Source organism: Homo sapiens, chromosome 14 (genome assembly GCF_000001405.40).
Source record: "Homo sapiens chromosome 14, GRCh38.p14 Primary Assembly".
NCBI lineage: Eukaryota > Metazoa > Chordata > Mammalia > Primates > Hominidae > Homo > Homo sapiens.
The window spans coordinates 51584137-51605210 of record NC_000014.9 but is presented as its reverse complement, the minus strand read 5'-3'; the positions used below and the strand labels follow the sequence as shown (position 1 = coordinate 51605210).

Genomic DNA, 21074 nt, shown 5'->3' with positions numbered 1-21074 from the left:
CCTATGACCCTGCCAAATCCCCCTCTGTGAGAAACACCCAAGAATGATCAATAAAAAAAAAAAAAAAAAAAGAAACCTGCAGAGAAGTAAATAGCATAAAAAAGTAATGACTATGTAACAAATTAGATGGGTGGCCAGGCAGGGGTAGAGATACAGGGAACTTCACAAAGCAATGGTGTTGTTTTGGTTGGTTTCTGTTTGTTTTACCCCTCATGTATCTTGAGATCACAGCTCGCATAGGCCATTACACTTCAACGATATAATCTCAGGACTGGAATATATTCACTTGTGCCAGTATTAAGAGTAAGCAGTGCTCACTTTGGTAGCACATATACTAAAATTGAAATGATACAGAGATTAGCATGGCCCCTGAGGAGGTTGGGAGTACAGAGGCGTGGAGAGGGCCTGGAAGAGTATAAAGGTGGAAAATGAACTCTTGGAGTAGTTAGTATTCCCTGGACAAGAAGATAGACAAGGAGGATGAAAAGAATATGGCACACTTCAGAGTTTCTAGTTGACGTTGTTCTACCCAAGGGATGCTCCTTGGCATCTGGTGGAAGAAATACAATGGGCCATAGAACTTTCTCTTCACCTCTTCCCATTCTCTTAAGCTCTTAGCATCTATTCCCCCAACTTATCATTAGTTTTTTTAGTGTTTCTTTTTATTTCTGGCCCAATTATATCCAATGATTTCTGCAAAACATGAAGATTTTAATAGTATTTTAGTAAGAATCTTCCTTCTTGCTGTGAATTCCTTCAAATAATAATCTTGAAAGCACACTAATAATAATAATGATAATAATCTGGAAAGCATAGTTTCCAGTTCAAGTAAGTAGCATTCCAAGTGATTGCTCAATGCCTTACTCCAAAGCGATTCCTTCCAACCCACCACAAGGCCAGAGCTCACTCTGGAATGTACTGTATCTTACACATCTTGGAATCTCCGGTGCTTTTCACGCAATGGGTGCTCAAAACTGTGGAACTATACTGTGAACTGTTGGAAAAATTTTCCTCCCAGACCTGCACCATCACACACATGCAGACATTCTGCCCCCACCCAGCAATCTAGCGGTCTCTCACTATTGCAAGTAGTAATGAAAGCTTCCTGACCAAATGACAAAGCCAGTGGCTCTTCTGAACTGCTCCATTTTCCATTATGCTCAGGATAGTTGGCATCTGTCTCCTCACTGCTCTGATACTCACTCCCTCACCTTCCTCTGCTCCTCACTCCATGTATTTCATCTTAGGGACTTTTTTTTTTTTTTTGTATCACAAGAGAAATTACCGTGGAAGGCAGGACATCGTATGGCAAATATTCTACATAAAATATGTTGAAAATTAGTCATTTTTTTAGTGCTTATGTGCCTGTCACCATGTGAGTTAGTTGTTTTCTATGTATGATTTTATTTAATGCTTGAAGAAGCCCTAAGAGGATGTTATTTTCCTTATTTGAGAACTCGGAAAACTGAGGTTCAGAGATAGCAAGCACTTCAGTCCAGGTTACGTAACTAGTGACTGGCAGTCTTGGTTTCTCAACCCCAGTGAGCAGTTTGATGCCAAGGCCCTTGCTCCACTGTCTCCCAGGAGAACATTTTTACCTTAGGGAAGGATGAAAAAATATCTAACATATTATAATTTTGTTCTATTTTTTTCTAACCATCTCTAGTATCAAAGGAAAGTTTTTCGTTATGTATTTTTCCTTTTTATAAAAGTAGTATTTGTTCACTGTAAACCATTCAAGAAATACAGAGAAGCAAAAAGAAGAAAAAAAAAATCACTTGCAATCCACCACTCAGATACAACATATCTGAAAGTTGGTATGGCTTTTTGATGATATTTTTGATTGAAACATTTTTTATGGGTTCATGTTGTATAAAGAGTTAAAACTGGAAACAGTTTTTATGCCACTTGTCTTAGTCCATTCAGGCAGTTATAACAAAGTATCATAAACTATGTGGCTTATAAACCATAGAAATTTTTTTCCTATAGTTCTGGGCGCTGGGAAGTCCAATATCAAGGTGCTGGCATATTCAGTGTCTGGTGAGGGCTGGAGTTCTGGTTGGTAGATGGTAGCTTCTTGCTGTATCCACATGTGGTGGAAGAGCTGGCTGGCTCTCTGGAGTCTCTTTTATAAGGGCACTAATCTCATTCATGAGGGCTCAGCCCTCTTGACTTAATCACTTCCTAAAAACCCCATCACCTAATACCTTGGGAGTTAGGATTTCAACACATGAATTTTGAGGTGATGCAAATATTTAGACCATAGCACCAATAAATTATTCCACAGCAATCAATTGTATAGCTATACCATAATTTCACCAGTACCACATGGTTAGCATGAAGTTTTGTTTCTTTGAATGTTAATAATATTGGGATAAACATCTCTGTAATTATCTCTGTATATTCTAATATTTTATGAAAGGGAAGAAATATTTTATAAGTGTTAAAAAACTGTTCACCCAAATGCATGAAAGTGAAAAAGAAACAAACACTTTGCTCTAAATCAGTAGTTGACAGGCTTTTCTTGTAAAGGGGCAGGTAGTAAATATTTTAGGCTTTTTGGGCCATACAGTCTCTGTCAAAACTACTCAGCCATGCCATCATAGCACAAAAGCAGCCATAGACAATCCATAAATGAATCAGCATGGCCATGTTTCAACAAAATTTTATTTATAGACCCTGAAATGTGATTCTCATATAATTTTCATGTGTCATAAAATAGTCTTCTTCTTTTGATTATTTTCTAATCATTTAGAAATGTGAAAACTACCTTTAGTCTGTGTGTCATACAAAAGCAAGTGACTGGTCCTTTCTTGCTCCAAATCATCCATTCATCCTTAGAGACATAAGCCTACATCTGTTTCTAGCCACAAAGTTATAGGATTGTGAGAATTCTCTTTCCAACCCTCCCTTCTCCTGGATTTACACACACACATACACGGACATACACTCCTGATTACCCCAAAGTCCTTTCCTAGTAAGCTGGCCACCCTCTCCCAGAGTTCCATATGTTCAAAAATTACTTCTATTTTCTTTAATTCTATTTCTTGGAGCATCTGATTATCTGACTGAATTAATTCACATTAAAGAGTGATTAGTGGGGATCAACTCTCCCTTTGAGAATTTCCATTTAAAAGAACATGTACCAGTGAGGCTAACGGAATGTTGGGGAAAACATTTTTGAGTGGCTGGATACCCAGCTCTTCATTTAGGAAGTTGATTTTGGTATTATAAGGCTTGCCAAGTAGGCTAAGATGACTTATCTACTGGTGCTTACAATCTAATCAGGGAGGCAGAACAACTGTGGTACAAGAAAAAATAAAAATTCAAATCAGAGGCTATTAACTGCCAAGAAAATGATAAAGAAATTAAATGACTAAATTATGATAAGGACAAAAATAATTGCTCAATGTTACCAAGCCTAGGCAGTCAGGGACATTTGTCTGCATGTTGGTAGACATAGGACCTTGCCTTCTTCCTCTCATGGATAATGGCTTCACAATATCCTCAGGGTCTTAAGCCTTTTATCCAGTTGAAGTCACTACTTCATGGTTTTACTTGTGCATAAATGATAAAAAGAAAAATAAAATTTAAACAACTTGAGCTTAGAGGGAGTTCTTGAGCCATTTACTAAATTTCTAGAGATTTGTAAAGCTCCAAACAAAATGCATTCATGAGTCCTTTAGCATATGACTGAACCTGGAAGTTTCACCACTAATTCCAAGGTAACCCTTGGACAGGCAAAGAGAAATAGGGCAATGGAGGGTTGATGTGACAGCATTTCCTGCAAAGGTATCCTCTCACCAGGTAGGCAAAGAAAGATAAGTTACCCAGACTTGAAATTGCAAGAGTCTTTTTTCCTAAAAATCACATCCTACACCCCTGGGGCAGTAAAACCCTTCTCTGAGGTCTCATAGAAAGGTGGTCTCGGGAAACTAAAACAAGCTTTGACCCAGGGGCTGCCAGCCAGCAGGTTTTCTCTTGTGGCAGTGTTTGCTTGCCATTCATCCAACCCTGACCAGAGGCTTCAAAAGCTGGAGCTCAGCTCTACCCAAAGCATAGTGGATGCTGGGGGACAGGTCTGCCCATGAAATGCCAGGAAACCCCAGAGCTAGGAGAGGTAGCTTAAAGGTCAACATCTGGGCATCAGGGTGCTTCTTAAAGCAAGTGGTGAAAAACACATCTTACCTCTATGTTCTAAAAATTGCTGCCCAAAAATCTTTGTCTTTAGTCACCCAATTTTCATTTCAAAGCCAAGTGCTAATAGGATATTAAAATAATATGCATATTACTAACCCAGGCTATGGGCAACTGCTGCTTGCTGCAAGCCCTTGACATTGCCTCCCTGTATCTAACCATGGTTCTGCTTAGTCTGGCTTCCTGCCTTTGGCAATGGCCAGGGTTTGATTGTTCAGAGAAAGGCAAATTGCCTAGTTAATTAAAATCTGTACTTTTAAAAACATTTTTCTCTTATATTGCCAGGCGAAGTTAAATGGGTACAACTTTCTTTTGAAAAGGCCAAAAATAAATTCTGGGCTTAAACATTGTAGATGAAATTGCTGCCTTAAATTCTAAGTTGCAGAAAAATAAAGGCTTATCATGAAAATTGTTATTTAGCTGTAACTGTGGGGGTGTAGGTACAAAGGGATTATTAACCTCCTTTATAAATGGGTATGTCAGGAACTTTGAAGGAAGACCCAGAGTTTAGTGGCCAAATGCCAGTGTGTGTTAAATATTCACAGTGAACTCTTCTCCCTTTGGTAATTGTAATTCTACGTCTGTTTCTAGCCTTTCTCACCTTGGTTATAGCACTCTGCTAGGGTCACATGGATTTCCAAAATCAACTGCAAGGGAGTATTCTGAATTCCTGTTGATAAATAAATTATGTTCCAATTACTGGTGCTTTTCTGAAATGTTACTCAATGAAGGGAAAAAAATTAAGCTCCTGAGCTCAGCATATCTTATTTTGCTATCGACCGTATTTCTGTGTCTGTGTTCAAGTAACTAACTCCTCTTGGCAACTCAAAGGAGAGCTTTAGGTAAACAAGTCAAACTATCTTCTTGTTTATACCTTTTTTGGAGAAAAAGTGAGAGTGCTGTAATTTTAAAAAAATTAGAACAGTAACAATGTCATCTTGAATTTACAAAGTGCAGGAGTTCTCAGATCTGTGATTTCAAGTCTTCCAACAACTCTTTTTGGGTGGGAGTAGTCAGGAGTCTGTGCTGTGGTTGAAGCCCAGGTTGGCCGTCGGGAGCTGAAATAGAGGCCAGGACTCCTGGCTCCCCGTCCAGACTCTGAGGACCCAGGAGCCTCCATGGGTACACTCAGAGGCCACACTAGATGCAAAAAGAACCATTTACAGAGAAGTGAGAGGTTCTCAAAGGTATGTGTTTCAGCATTTAACAAGGAATTTTACCTGGGGGGTGGTATTCATTCAGAACCTGGCTACAAAGCTTGAAGAAAAAAGAGCCAGAACTAAGGAAACCTGTGCCTGCCTTAGAAAGGCAATGAGAAGTCTGTTTGTGTCTTTTGCCCACTTTTTAATGAGGTTAATTGCTTTTTGCTTGTTCAATTGTTTAGGTTTCTCATGAATTCTAGATATTAGACCTTTGCTGGATATATAGCTTGCAAATATTTTCTCCCATTTCATAGGTTGTCTGTTTACTCTGTTGATTGTTTCTTTTGTTGTGCAGAAGTTCTTCAGTTTAATTAGGTCCTATTTGCCAATTTTTGTTTTTGTTGCAATTGCTTTTGAGAACTTAGTCATAAATTCTTTCCCAAGGTCAATGCCCAGAATGGTGTCTCCTAAGTTTTCTTCTGGAATTCTTATACTTTGTGGCCTTATGTTTAAATCTTTAATCCATCTTGAGTTAATTTTTGTATATGGTGAAAGGGAGGGGATCAGTTTCATTCTTCTGCATATGGATAGCTAGCTATCCCAGCACCATTTATTGAATAAGAAGTCCTTTTCCCATTGCTTATTTTTGTCAACTTTGTTGAAGATCAGATGACATATAAGCAGCCAACAAACATAGAAAAAATGCTCAACATCATAATAATCAGAGAAATGCAAAGCAAAACCACAATGAAATACCACCTCACACCAGTCAGAATGGCTATTACTAAAAAAAAAAAAAAAAAAAAAAAAAAAGACAGATACTGGCAAGGCTGCTGAGAAAAGTGAATGCTTATACACTGCTGGTGGGAATGTAAATTAGTCCAGCCACCGTGGAAAGCAGTTTGGAGATTTCTTAAAGAACTTAAAACAGAGCTACATTTGACCCTGTAATACCATTACTGGGTATTTATCCAAAAGAAAATAAATCATTTTACCAAAAAGACACATGCACTTGTATGTTCAGTGCAGCACTATTCACAATAGCAAAGACAGAATTAACCTAGGTGCCCATCAGCAGTGGATTGGATAAAGAAAATGTGTTATATATACACCATGGAATACTACACAGCCATAAGAATAATGAAATAATGTTATTTGAGAAACATGGATGCAACCTAAGTGAAGTAACCCAGAGATAGAAAACCAAATACCACATGTTCTCACTGATAAGTGGGAGCTAAACACTGGGTACTCATGGACATAAAGATGGCGGCAGTAGACCCTGGAGGCCACAAGAATGGGGAGAGAGGGAAGGAGACAAGGGCTGAAAAACTACCTATTGGGTACTGTGCTCACTACCTGGGTGATGGGATCATTCATATCTCAAACCTTAGCATCACACAATATGCCTACTTAACAAACTTGTACATGTACCCCATGAATCTAAACTAAAAGTTAAAATTATTTTAGAAAGAAGAAAGGCAATGACATGCAACAATAAGCAGTCAGACTGATATTCACCCCATACCCTGACAACTCCCTTCATTTATTCTCAATCACACTTGGGGTGCTTCTGCAGGAAGGGAATGGAGGAGGTTTGGCTCTTGGGACCACTTTCTGTGTCTGTGATTATAGATTATAATGTTAATTTCTGGTTTGGTTTTTTGGGGGCTAGGGGGAGAAATTAGTTTTCTTTAATTTTTTCTCCTCTCTGGAGCAAAGCTGTTTTTCTCTCATTCTTTTTAAATAATTTCATTGTCAATGAAAACACAAAAGACAGTTGAAAGCAATTCAAAATAGGGAATTTTCCACTGGGGAGAAATCAGGGAATAGCATAAAATGGCTTCTTGCCCTTTTCTTCAAATTCCATATTCATATTAACAGCAAAAATGGATGGTTGGGGGGCAGCCGTCTGCATCTGTTTTGAATCATCCTTGTTTCCAGGCCTCAGTCTCTTCCCACACTTCTCCAAACTGTCATCAGGTTTAATGGCAAGGCAGCCTTGGGCGCTGCACTCCACCCTCAGAGACCAGTCAGAACTCTCAGTGGCCCTGAGTGCTAGACCTTGGAATTGGAACCATCTTAGAGATCATCTGGTCTTGGAATTTCTTTACCCCCTTCTTTAATAACTTGGATTGAACATTTATAGAACACTTACTATGCACCAAGGAATGTTTTAAGTAGTTTGTATATATTAGCTCATTCATTCATCACACAGCCCTATCAAGTAGGCACCATTATCCCCACTTACAGATGAAAAACTGGGGCACAGAGAAGCTGAGTCATTGACCAGGATGGCCTTCTACAGGGTGGCAGAGCTGCCTTTCCTCGTTACACATTCTGCATTCCAGCCAAACGTGCTGTAGGCTCTAGGTCTCCATCTTAGGCCTCTGCTCACTCCTGTTCCTTTTGCCTGGAAAGCCTCCACATCTGGTCCCTCCCCTAAACTCTGCATTGTCCAAATCCTATATAGCCTTCAAAATGAAGGGCGGATGCTGTCTCCTCCAGGGAGCGACTCCTAATTGCCTTTAGCTAGGGTCAATCTCCTTATGCTGAAATAGCGAAGTACTTCCATTGTACTGTGTGGCATGTGCCATATTCTGCCCTGCATTCTAGTTATGTATGCATATATTTCATTTTTTTAAACATAAGATAAGCTCTCTATGGTAGAATGCATGTGTGATGATCTCCCAGCTCCCATATCACCTAGTGCATTCTGTGGCACACATTAGATAATGTCTGTTGCTGTATTTACCACATGGTACAAAAAATGTGTGAATGATTATGCACATCATAGGTAACATTGCTTCATGAGCAAATGCCCTCTTTGACACATTGCAATCAGGCTCCTATAAAATTGCATATTTATAAAATGAATATTTACATGTGTTAGTTAAATGCGATGCAGTTTTTCCTAAGTGGGGAGGCATCTGTGTGATGTATAAACTTGCAACAACAGAGCAGCAGATCTGAGGACCCCACGTATACATGCGGGGTGCTGTCTGCCTTGGATGAGCTGGTCATTGCATGGCTTCTCTGAATGCTCTTGTGTGAAAGACAGCTTTTCTCTTGAGTCTCTACACTATCATTGCTCTTTCTGGGCCCATGAACTTTTGAACCAGGCGGTGGGGCTCTGCTCAGAGTAACTCTCACCCACCAATGTGTCCACATTGCAAGTGGTATTCACAGGCCACAGAAGCGTCACTGCTTAACCATGAGCCTTGAGACTCAGCCACAGCTCAGGCCACCACCCTCAGGATGCAAAACACTTCCTCCCATACATAAAGCTACACAAAGTCATTATTGATGACACTCAGCCACATGGGTAAACTTACGAAGGAGTACACTTTTTCTAATTTTCATGTAAGTATCAGAGAAACAATCAGGCAGAGAGAGCAATGAACACAAAATATTTTGATATGATCATTTGACAGGGTCTTAGATAGTAGGTATCAGCTTATAATAGAATTTAAATCACCTCCCAACCTCAGGCTTACACGGTTCACAGTGCAATACTCCCTGAAATCAGTAATGTGAGGGTGCTTGATTCTGGCTACGTATCAGATTTCCTGTGGAATTTCACACATACCCATACACACACACACACACACACACACACACACCAGGCTCTCCTCTTGGAAATTCCACAATTCCAAAAAACTGCATAGTTCATTCTGATGTGAAGCATGGGTTGAGAATTACTGTGACCAAATGAGACACAAAAATAATAGGTCACTCAGTCCCAGGCTGTGTCTTTTGCTGTTGCTGCTTTTTAATCAAAAAGGCTAGAGAGGCATCTCAGTGGGAACATTAGTTCTGCAAGTGACAAGACTTATAATATTTCATAACTATAGAAAACAGCGGGTGGCTATGATTTCAACAGCAGAAGTAAAACATTTTTCCATAAGCACAAACCAAAATATGTAAAACCCTACATACCCCAAAGAAGAGGAAAAATAAATTCAAGATTGTGAAACTTATATTCTGTTTACATTAGAATACCATTAATTAATTATCGACAATAGTTTAGTTTTAAAATAAAACCAGAATGGAGAAGACTCATTATTGCCTGAGACTCTAAGGAAGGCAAACTGTTGTTTACTGAAAAATTTCATGAACCATAGTCTATAGCCATATGGAAAAGCTAGTACATTATATTTTACAGCATGTAATTGATCTACAATATTATCTTCAATTCATCCTCATTAATTGGCTTTTCCATGAAACAGAAGGGCTTCCCCTTGCCATCTTTGATTTGGCAGATGTGGCTGGATTTCATGCTGTCAGGGTTCACCCTATGTACTCCCCTATAAATGTTCTTTTTCTTTCTGACACTTCACTCACTCCAGAGATGAGCCTTCACACTGTTAACAATACTTTCATATCCCTGTCTGCCCTGGAAGTAGATTTTGGTCTCTACCTTTCCAACATAATCAAAGTTTACCAGTCCCATGTTCCTTGATTTCAGAGTATCCTGTTTCCCAGACTCTGTTAAGGAAATGCTAAAGTGTTTTGTAGAATAATCTGAGAAAATGGGATCTAATAACAAAATACATCATATTTCCAGGGTACAGATTTGAGTTCAAAGGGATCTTCTGTCAATAATGCCTTAGCCTAAAAGTGGTACTCTGAAAGTCAGAATTCCAGGCACTCAGAGTTAGGGGACTGATGCAGCTTTGGCAAGACGGGTCGCTCTCAAATCACATTGCTTAAGCATCTACTTAGTCCACCTATTCCAAGAGTTTTGGCTCATTGGTCCATGTGGTCTCCTAGCACAGAACGGGATGAGAACTACAGGCTCCCTCCTTTGGTGTCTAGCACAATCCAGGACTCCCTACCCCTTCCGTTGAGGCTGAGTATCCAGGGTTAACCCAACAGCTCATCATTCTTTATTTCTCTTCTATGCAAGTTCTGATAATTTTCCTGAAGGCACCATCTCCAAAGGAAGGAACGAATATCCAAAGCAGCCAATTTTGCTCTTGCTTAACAATTCTGGCCAGAGTCTTGCCACCGGTAAATAACAGGGACTCTTCCTGCTTTATTTCCCATTTCCAAGCACAGTGGGGAGTTGGGTCCCTGGGGTGGACAAGGGTTAACCCATGTACTCATGGCCGGGTGTGGTGGCTCATGCCTGTAATCCCAGCACTTTGGGAGGCCAAGGCAGGTGGATCGCCTAAGGTCAAGAGTTCTAGACCAGCCTCACCAACATAGTGAAACCCCATCTCTACTAAAATACAAAAATTAGCCAGGCGTGGTGGCTCACACCTGTAATCTCAGCACTTTGGGAGGCCGAGGCGGGTGGATCACTTGAGGTCGGGAGTTCGAGACCAGCCAGACCAACATGGAGAAACCCCATCTCTACCAAAAAATATAAAATTAGCCGGGCGTGGTGGCACATGCCTCTAATCCCAGCTACTGGGGAGGCTGAGGCAGGAGTATCACTTGAACCTGGGAGGCAGAGGTTGCCGTGAGCCAAGATCGCACCATTGCACTCCAGCCTGGGCAACAAGAGTGAAACTCCGTCTCAAAAAAATAAATAAATAAATAAATAAATAAATAAATAAAAATAAAATACAAAAATTAGCTGGGCGTGGTGGTGCACACCTGTAATCCCAGTTACTTGGAAGGCTGAGGCAGGAGAATTGCTTGAACCCAGGAGGTGGAGTTTACAGTGAGCCGAGATCGCGCCACTGCACTCCAGTCAGGGTGACAGAGCAAGACTTCATCTCAAAAACAAACAAACAAAACATGTACTCATTTCTTGTTCTTAGTAAATCTCTGGAGGGGGTATAAGAAATGTCGTGAGTTCATCTAGGTTCCATCAGTAATTCACTGTGGCATTCCCATTTCACACACCCTGTTCTGTTGTCCCTCTGAGTATATCTGTAAATGCCAAGCCGTTTGGTCTTACTTTTGCTTCAGAAAGTAGGGGGATTCTATTCTTGGAAAGGAGAAATGAAAATTTTGTAGAGTTGGGGGTGTGGTTCATATATATATACATATATATGTGTGTGTGTGTATGTATATATAGATATATGTGTGTATTTATATATACACATAACATATTTCAAATTGCCATCTTCAATTTTGTACTTACTATATCAAAGTAGTCTGGTATCCAGAAACGGGAGTCAGGGTTTACCTAGATTATTCTCTTTGAGAATGAAGCCCACGAACTCCAGCAGAGAAGACAGAATCAAAACAGCTGGATTCGTCATTAGAAAGCACAAGTTCACCCCTGTCTGGCACAGTCATGTGCTCACTACAGTCTCACAAGGCTGAGGGCAGAGGATGCGAAGCAAGACCATTCAGAGGCACAGGAATATACGTGCAGCAGCCAACTGTCTGCTGGTACAACACAGCTTGCTCTGCTGACATTCATTTTTCTGTTGTCACAGGTACAATTTAGTAATCTGGCAAGTAAGTTTTTATTTTAAAAGCTGTGAGAGGGGAGCTAAAAATTCTAGATATATTTTGAAATTAGGATTTATTTGTCTTTGCTTCCACTTATTCACATTCTTCAGGAAAGGGTGAATGTAAAATCCAAGAAGAAGGTCAGCATGTTTCTTTGGCTGCATTAGAGGCTACATTACAAATACCCTCTCTTTGTCAGAAGGGAAATCTGGAGCTGTTCGCTGGGGCAGTGTTATAGAGTCCCTTGCCTACTCTCCTCACCCACATGACTTCCCTCTGCAGGTGCAGATATGTTAACATCCCATCAGTTACACCGAGGACCCTGCAATGAAATGCAGCTCATCAGGATGCCATAAAAAATAAGAAGGTGGTTTAGGTAAAAACTACGAAAGGCATTGTTTACTAAACTGAGTGACAAAATAACATCACATAACCATCAGCTCTGCCTATATCCCTTTCCTCCCACATCAAAGACTGAGCTGACTCAGATAGGGAAGCCTTAAAAATAGGTGCTACAATGAGGAATGCACAGGTTTTGTCTTTCATTGCACTTCATATATTTTTAATAAAGGACATATATTTAAAAAATCATTTGTAAGATATTTTGTTAATTTTAAATGAACATTTAAAAATAGAAATTGTGGCTTCTATAAAAATCAGAACTTTGCTTTGATATGTACATACAGATTAAAAATTTAACCCTATTTGCTGTAATCTAAAGAAATGTGTTAAGGCTCTAAGGCTGAATTACAGTTACGATGGAAACCAAAAAATGTAACCATTATGATTTAGGAGCCTCTAGATTCTCAATAATTTGTTGTTTGAAGCAGGGAAATTAAATTTTTAATTAAATGAGTAGAACACAAGTAATTTTACAGGAAATTTATTACATCGTGTTCAAATGTCATCTAATGTGTTCCTTGATGCTCTTTGGGTAATTTTTTCAGCAACTGCTGGCAAGTTTTTGAGAGATAGGTTAGAATATTTATTGAGCACCTACTACTTATTTAAAACACTGTACAGGGCTCCAGGGATGGGAAGGATAACATATAAATACATAGTTTCTATACACGAGAAATTTTAGTTTAGTTCAGATAATTTTTAAAACACACGCAATAACCCAAATGCCTTTACAGAGCTATAGTTCAGCAACAAGGCATCCTAACAATATTTTGATCAAAGGACTCTGAACCGAGGACAGAGAGAGCCAGTCAAAGGGGTCTAAAACTCTCAATGGAGCTGAATTTTAAACCAAGCTTTTTTGTAAATCACAATTTCCTCTCTGATCACAAAAGCAACATGTGCTAATTGTTGAACATTTGAAAATATGAAAATTTCAGAAAAGAAAATTAAAACCAGCTGTAATTCCAACTCCTATATTAACTTTTTGGTGTATTTGTAATGGTAACTTTTTTCCTATGGAGTATATATAGGTATGGGCAGTTGTCACTTTGCATGATAGTGTGAGACTGCAAAAATGACCATGAAAGCTAGAATCATGCAAAGTGATCTTAACAATCAGTGGAGAAAATCCAATTGTTCTGTAACCTTTAAAATTATTTTGTCATTAAACTCTCTTACTGTTGTTTATAAATGTATAAGAAAATAAAAAATAGTGGCCGGATGTGGTGGCTCACACCTGTAATCCCAGCACTTTGGGAGGCCAAGGAGGGTGGATCACGAAGTCAGGAGTTTGAGACCAGCCTTGCCAACATGGTGAAACCCCGTCTCTACTAAAAACACAAAAGTTAGCTGGGCATGGTGGCGCACACCTGTAATCTGAGCTAACTGGGAGGCTGAGGCAGGAGAATTGCTTGAACCCAGAAGGCAGAGGTCGCAGTGAGCTGAGATTGCGCCACTGCACTCTAGCCGTCTTGGAAAAAGAAAGAAAAGAAAAAACAGTAAAATTAATCTTTAGTACTCTGAATTTAAAATATAGAAATGTTGAGAATTAAAGTGTTTTATTTCTTTGTAAAAAACTTATCAGAAATAGTTTGAATAATGCTGGTCTATCTTTCATTGTACAACTTATAATGTGGAGCAAGCATCTTTTTTGCAAATTGTCATACTTCTAAGTCTGGATCAGCTTCCACCACTTTGTCCTTTGTACTTTCAATGAGGTGAACTATCTCTGATAGTTCCTTTAATGTAAAGTTTTTTTTTGTTTGTTTTGTTTTGTTTTGTTTTCTGCCAGCATCACTTCTTCTGTGTGTTTTCAACACCACCACATACTTCCAGAAGGGCTGCCTTTACCTAATTTACACAAAGACGCAGTATGGACTGGCCTTGGCCCTGATCAACATGATGGATTCTCACCACAGCCCTCAGAGGTGACAGAGAAGTTCTGATTGCTCCAATTTTATACGAAAACAAAACAAAACAAAATGAACCAAAAAAAACCCCACAGCAGCTGCCATTGGGTCAGTGATTTATCTAAGCTGAGAATGAATTGGTGAGATAAAGATGCAGTTGAGGAAGATATTAGAATCCAGGCTGAGCAGGTTTCATTTGAAGAAAAAGGCAACAGGGGACTGCGAGGTATATATAAATCAGGCTACACATTAACTTCCACAGAGTAAAACAGTAAGTCACAGCTGTCCACCTGGAAGAGATTGCTCTGGGCAGCTTGATGCCTTCCAACCAGTTAAATTATTTCTTCTCCAAAACTTTGGTCACTTTTTGCATTTGGATCAGATCTTTGGAGACATCTCCATTTTCCTTGAGGAGTAAATATACAGCCACCAGGATTTTAAAAAAGTGAGTCTGAAAGCAAATATCCCTTCACCTCACTGTCTTTTGTAATTGAACTTTACAGACCCCTTTTAGAGAGTTGTAATTACTGTCGTTACTGTTCTGAGAGTATCTGGGCCTAGGGTTTTTCTGAGTTCTAAGCCACACAGTCTGTACTCTTACTTGACAGAGAAATGCTGTTGCATAAACCAGATCCTTCAGCTATTAGGGAGTCAGGGGTTTAACTTTCCTGGGTGAATTTAGCATTTCTTCTTGGATTTACAAGCTTTAGAGGAACACTTGTAAAAAAAAAAATTGCTGGGTACAAACCAATTAATCCTTCCTCCAAAAATAGCCAAATGATATTGGTAGGTGTTTAAAAACAAAAACAAACCAAAAAAATCGAAGAGGCTGCCTCTGAGAAATAGAACTTGAAAAATAGTTCTCTGGTCAAACATCTGGAAAAATCTCACCATCATTCTGCCTCTTTGCAGTGTCATGACACTCTCGGAGAGTCCTTCTTTGTAGGTAAAAAATGTTTTCAATTTATTGGGAATTACAAACCTATTTTTTTCTATATTTTTAGACAAGGTGAGAAATCCAACATTAACAAAACTTTTTAAAAAATTCTCACTTACCTGATTTTTTTTTTTTTTTTTTTTTTTGAGTTTCGCTCTTGTTGCCCAGGCTGGAGTGCGGTAGCACGATCTTGGCTTGCTGCAATCTCCGCCTCACAGGTTCAAGCAATTCTCCTACCTAAGCCTCCTGCATAGCTGGAATTACAGGTGCCTGCCACCACGCCCCACTAATTTTTGTATTTTTAGTAGGACGGGGTTTCCCCATGTTGGCCAGGCTGGTCTCGAACTCCTGACCTCAGGTGATCCACCCGCCTCAGCCTCCCAAAGCACTGGGATTACAGGCGTGAGCCACCATGCACAGCCTCATTTACGTGATCATTTATTGATATCTGGACTAACTTGTGTTCTATGGAACTTGTTTTAAGAAAGCTGGACCATGGTCATGGACACAGTTGGTTATGCACAGCTAACTCTATTTGAACTCAGAGCTACTTCCTGTCCCCAATTCCAGAACCAGAGGGGTAGTAACAGAAAATGAGCCAGGAATGATCAGGCTCTCTGGCTGAGGCTGGCAGTAGCATTTTCATCCCTCAGTGGAGAGTGTTTTGTGTATGTGAAATGAGGAGTGTGAGGCCAAGCAGATGGGGCTCTGTTCTCCCTCACCCTTCTTCAACCCAAGCAGATCTGCTTTGATCTGCCTTAGATGTTGCAGTTTCTTGCAAGGTTTCATTAGAAAAATAAAAAAAGATTCCATCAGCAAAAAAAGAAAAAAGAAAAACAACAACAACAACAAAAAAAACCAAAAACAAAAACCCAACCAAAACAAAACAATAGTGGATGGTGGTGTTTTAAAACCTGTACATGGAGCAAAAATCTAGGAGTGATAAATACTCTCTAGGACCTTCTATAGTCACTTATCCTCTGGTTTTCCCATCTGTAAAATGGGATTGATAATGCTGTGGGGACTAAAAACTCTTTTTGGAAAAGAATGAAAGCTTGCTGCATACTTAGTTCAAGGTAGAATGTGAGCAGGTAGAGAAGGACAGGAAGGAAAGTAAATATTTGTCATTTTTCAGCTCTCCATCATCTGAATCCCCTTCCCATTATCAACTGTGAGGTAGAAGGTCAACTGCATGTTCCCATGGGTGTTTAATATCAGAGTGAGTGACCCAGAGAAGCCTGGACAGTTTAGGGCTTATGGTGGTCATGGTGCAGTCACCACTCAGTGACATGGCATCAGCCGTGGCGCACAGTCCCCAGAAATGGCAGTGACCAAGCCACACTGTTCATGTGGCATGAGACTTTGAGTTTCCTTTGTCCCCTGTGTGGGTTTTGTGTCTGATTCTCTGGCCTTCCCATGAGTCTGTGAGCCTCTCTTTGTTCTTTGATTTAATGCTTTACAGTTTAAGTTCGCCAGAATTATTTCAAGTGAGAACTGTTAGGCATAGATGGTGGCATATCAGAGTGTGAGGTTGGGGCAGCCTGGGGTGGAAGTCATTTTAGGAGATCTAAAACTCTCCTCATGTGAGCATTCAAGCTGATCACTAAAATTTGTCTCAAAGGGAATGGGAGAACCATGTCCCCTGTTTGGGTCGTGTTCCTGTAGATGTAGAAGATATTTCAGCAGGGGAGGGTATTTCTGCTCCTTGTATTTATAATTTATAATTTTCCTACATAATCAAGTAGAGACCTGCAGAACACCTATTTTTCTTTTAAACTTCTCTCTCTGCTAGTTTTGTTAGGATGTAATAAAAATTAATCTTTTAACAAGTTAATGGGTGCAGCACACCAAGATGGCACATGTATACATATGTAACAAACCTGCACATGGTGCACATGTACCCTAAAACTTAAAGTATAATAATAATAAAATTAAAAAAACCAAAAAACAAAGATTAACAGAAAACAGAACAACAAAAAAACTCCCAGCATATACATTGAGTCATTTGCAGGTTTGGGAGGGGGGGAAATGCTTTTTTGTATTAGGAGAAAAGTAAGTTTTCATTTTAAATGTCTATATTACTTAAAGTTTGCAATAAATATTTATTACTTTCAACAGTGAAAAAAATTACAAGAGAGAATATGAAATAGCACAGTAATACAGACTATAGTAATGCTAGAGAACATAATGAAAACGAAAGAAAATATGGGGGAAAAATAGCTAAAATCCTAATCCAAACAGCACTTGACTCTCAGGGGTCAGGGGAGTTCATTTCCATCGTGCTGTAACCCTAAACTTTTTCTTGTTCTATTGAATGCACAGAACAGTGATAAGAACGTCATTGCCGCTAACGTCAGTAGGAAGGACCCTCAAGGTTACTTTCATGGACAGGGACCACTTGTTTCTTCTTCATATTTTAATTTTATACTTAAGCATTTTTACAGTTAATGCAGCTTAACTATTCAAAGCAAAACACTGAAAATGTCTAGATGGGTCTGCACAACCCCATAAACAGATAGGTTTGGTCCTGGCCTTTTTATCAGCTCTTAGTAAGATTACACATGCAAGCATCTCCATCCCAGTGAAAATGCCCTCTAGATCACCCAGATCAAAAGCAGCAGATATCAAGCACACACAAATGCAGCTCAAAACACCTTACTCAACCACACCCCCACGGGAAACAGCAGTGATAAATCTTTAATAATAAACGAAAGTTTAACTAAGCTATACTAATATTTAGGGTTGGTCAATTTCGCACCAGCCACCGCGGCCATACAATTAACCCAAGCTAATAAAACTTGGCATAAAGAGTGTTTAAGGTCTGCCCTCAATAAAGCTAAACTCCATCTAAGAGGAGGTGACACTCAGAGGTGTCACTGCTACCTCATCTGTATTTTCAGAGAAGCCACCTCAATCTACTACTAAAATTTAGCTGCAGGTATAAAAATAGACACATAGATCAATGGAACAGAATAGGGAACCCAGAAATAAAGCCACATACCTAACAACCAACTGATCTTTGGCAAAGTCATCAAAAATATATACTGGGAAAATGACACCCTATTCAACAAATGTTGCTGGAAAAATTGCATAGCCACATGCAGAAGAATAAAACTGGACCCATACCTCTCACCATAGAAAAAGATGAACTTGGGCCAGGAGTGATGGCTCATGGCCATAACCCCAGCACTTTGAGAGGCCAAGGCAGGAGGTTTGCTTGAGCCCAGGAGTTTAAGACCAGCCTAGGCAACATGGCAACATGGCGAGACTCTGTCTCTAAAAAACTTTTTTTAAAAAATTAGCTGAGTGTGGTGGTGCATGCCTGTGGTCCCAGCTACTTAGGAGATGGAGGCGGGAGGATTGCTTGAGTCCAGGAGGTTGAGGCTGCAGTGAGCCATGCTCATGCCACTGCACTCCAGCCTGGGTAACAGAGCAAGATGCCATGTCCAAAATAATGATTAATAATAATAATAAGATAAAGTAAAGACCTGAACATAAGACATGAAGCCATAAAAATCCTAGAAGAAAACCCAGGAAATATTCTTCTAGACATTGCCCAAGGCAAATAATTTTTTAGCAAGTCCTCAAAAGCAAATGCAACAAAAACAAAAATAGACAAATGAGAGTTAATTAAATTAAAAGGCTTCTGCACAGCAAAAAGAAACAATCAAGAGAGTAGACGGACTACAGTATGGGAAAAATATTTGCAAACTATGGATCCAACAAAGGGCTAGTACCCAGAATCCGTAAGGAATTCCAACAGCTCAAGAAGAAAAACAACCCCTTTAAAAAGTGGGCAAAGGATATCAACAGGCATTTTTCAAAAGAAGTCATAGATGTGGCCAACAAACATATGAAAAAATGTTCAACATCACTAATCACCAGAGACGTGCAAATTGAAACCACAATGAGGTATCATCTTATACCAGTCAGAATGATTATTGTTAAAAAGTCTAAAAGCAACAGAAGTTGGTGAGGTTGTGGAGAAAAGGGAAAGATTATACATCGTTGGTGGGAATGTAAATTAGTACAACCTTTGTAGAAAACAGTATGGAGATTTCTCAAAAACTTAGAACAGACCTATCGTTTAAACCAGCAATCCCATGACTGGGTGTATACCCAAAAGGAAAGAAATTATTATATCAAAAAGACACCTGCATTGTATATTTACTGCAGTATTATTCACAATAGCAAAATCATGGAATCAATCCAAGTACCCATCAACAAAGGTTTGATAAAGAAAATGTTATATATATATATATATATATACACACACACACACACATGCCATGGCATACTATTCAGCCATAAAAAGAATAAAATAATGTCTTTTGCAGCAACATGGATGGAACTAGAAGCCATTATCCTAAGTGAAATGACTCAGAAACAGAAAGTCAAATATTGCATATTCTCACTCACAAGTGGGAGGTAAATAATAGGTATACATGACCATACAGAGTGAAATAATAGACATTGGAGACTATGAAAGGTGAGAGGGTGGGAATCGGGCAAGGGGTTAAAAATTACCTACTTTATAAAGTTTATAACCTTTAATCCTTACAACATGCAAGATAGGTATTCCTATCTTATAGATGAGGAAACCAAGACTCAGTTGTTATTCGATCTAAAGTCACATAGCTCATAAATGTGAAACCTGGATTTGAACCTAGGTTCAGCTGCCTCTCAGGTCTTTGCTTTTAATCCCTTCTTGGTCTTGCTTCAGAAGCAGACAATTTATAATCTGCTAAATCTGATATTTCTTGGGTAAACAGTTAAATTGTAAACACTTAAATTGGGTAAACACTTAAATTGTAGCCTCATCACAATTTCAGGTTGTGAGATTGCATAAAAAAGGAGAAAGGGGTCACTCCCTCCCTCCGCTGGGACAAATTTAAGTCGTATGTGTATATGTATGAAGGTGAAAGATGGTTTACTGGGGAGAGACTCAGATGTGGTGAGGAACTGGGGGCCTAGGATAGCTTTGCTGGAGAAACAGGAGGAGCTTCTAGGGGCGAAAATAACATGCTAATGTTAAAATAGCAGTCACAGGAACAGCGTGCCTGGTGGAAAGGAAGAACTCCATCTTGCCAGGCTGTCCTAGAGACAGAACGCCCTGAAACTATAATGCAGCAAAGGGGAATGATAGGATGGCAACAATGACAGCTACTGTGTATTGAGTGTTCACTACGTGCAAGGACCATTCCAAGGGCTTTATGTGTATTAACTCATTTAATATTCACATTCTTGCTAGAAGATAAGCACTGATCACAATATCTTTTTATGAATGAGGAAACTGAGCCACAAAGAATTAATTCTAAAAAGAATTAAATTTGCCCAAGTCACAGAAGCGTTGTAGAACCAGAATTCAAATTTAGGCCATTTGCCTTCAGAGCTTATACCCTTTACCACTATAATTTACAGACTCTGAGGAAAGTGGACACGTATGAAGCTGATTGGCAGCGAAAGAAACTAAGAAAAGGAAAGGCCAGGATGGAGCCTAATGGATATTAAAGCAAAACTGAGTTAAATTTCATCTCAGGGTTGACAAGGACTTGCTCACATGCTGATGATGGTGGCAACTGATTAATGGAAAAATTGCAAAGGGCCTTGGAATGTGATCATCATGTTACACAAGGTTCCATACAGAAGTAATTATAATAAAGCCAACTCCCTCTCACAGGTACCAAACCTGAACTGATGCTGTCTATGCCCAAGTGGTACCATTGCCCAATTTCCCTATTTCTGCCAAAGCTATGCCAGCTTGGAGGCAACTTAGCTCCTTTATTATTGATATCCTATCATGTTTTCTCAATCCTCTCTGGAAAATTCTACTGTTTTCACTGAGCCCAGTGTACCTCTTGTACTTCACTTGGATTTTGCAATAATGCCTCACAGGTCACCTTGCCTCTTGTCTCTCCCTTCCAGGCTCAACCAAATGCCTCTGCCAGGAGAATCTTTCAGAGTGTCCTGGAACATTGGAAATAGGCTTAAAGCTTAAATGATGAATCAGAAGAGTTATGCTGTATTCTAATGCTGCCACTAGGTGAGTGACACTGGGAGTCATTTCAACCC

General features: G+C 39.5%; 1 protein-coding gene, 1 long non-coding RNA gene and 1 pseudogene across 16 annotated transcripts in view; 2 read left to right on the top strand and 1 right to left on the bottom strand.

Moving 5' to 3' along the window:
- Positions 1–21074, bottom strand: part of FRMD6 (FERM domain containing 6) — a 334297-nt gene that overhangs the window by 125517 nt on the left and 187706 nt on the right. The gene's annotated exons all lie outside the window — the stretch shown is intronic.
- Positions 311–372, top strand: LOC124903415 (uncharacterized; annotated as a pseudogene).
- The window catches only part of FRMD6-AS2 (FRMD6 antisense RNA 2), a 145441-nt gene continuing 129625 nt past the window's right edge, over positions 5259–21074 (top strand). For both annotated transcript variants that reach the window (NR_051990.1, NR_047477.2), the window contains exons 1-2: positions 5259–5384; positions 20928–21045. This is a non-coding gene — a long non-coding RNA (FRMD6 antisense RNA 2). The remainder of the gene's footprint in view (positions 5385–20927; positions 21046–21074) is intronic.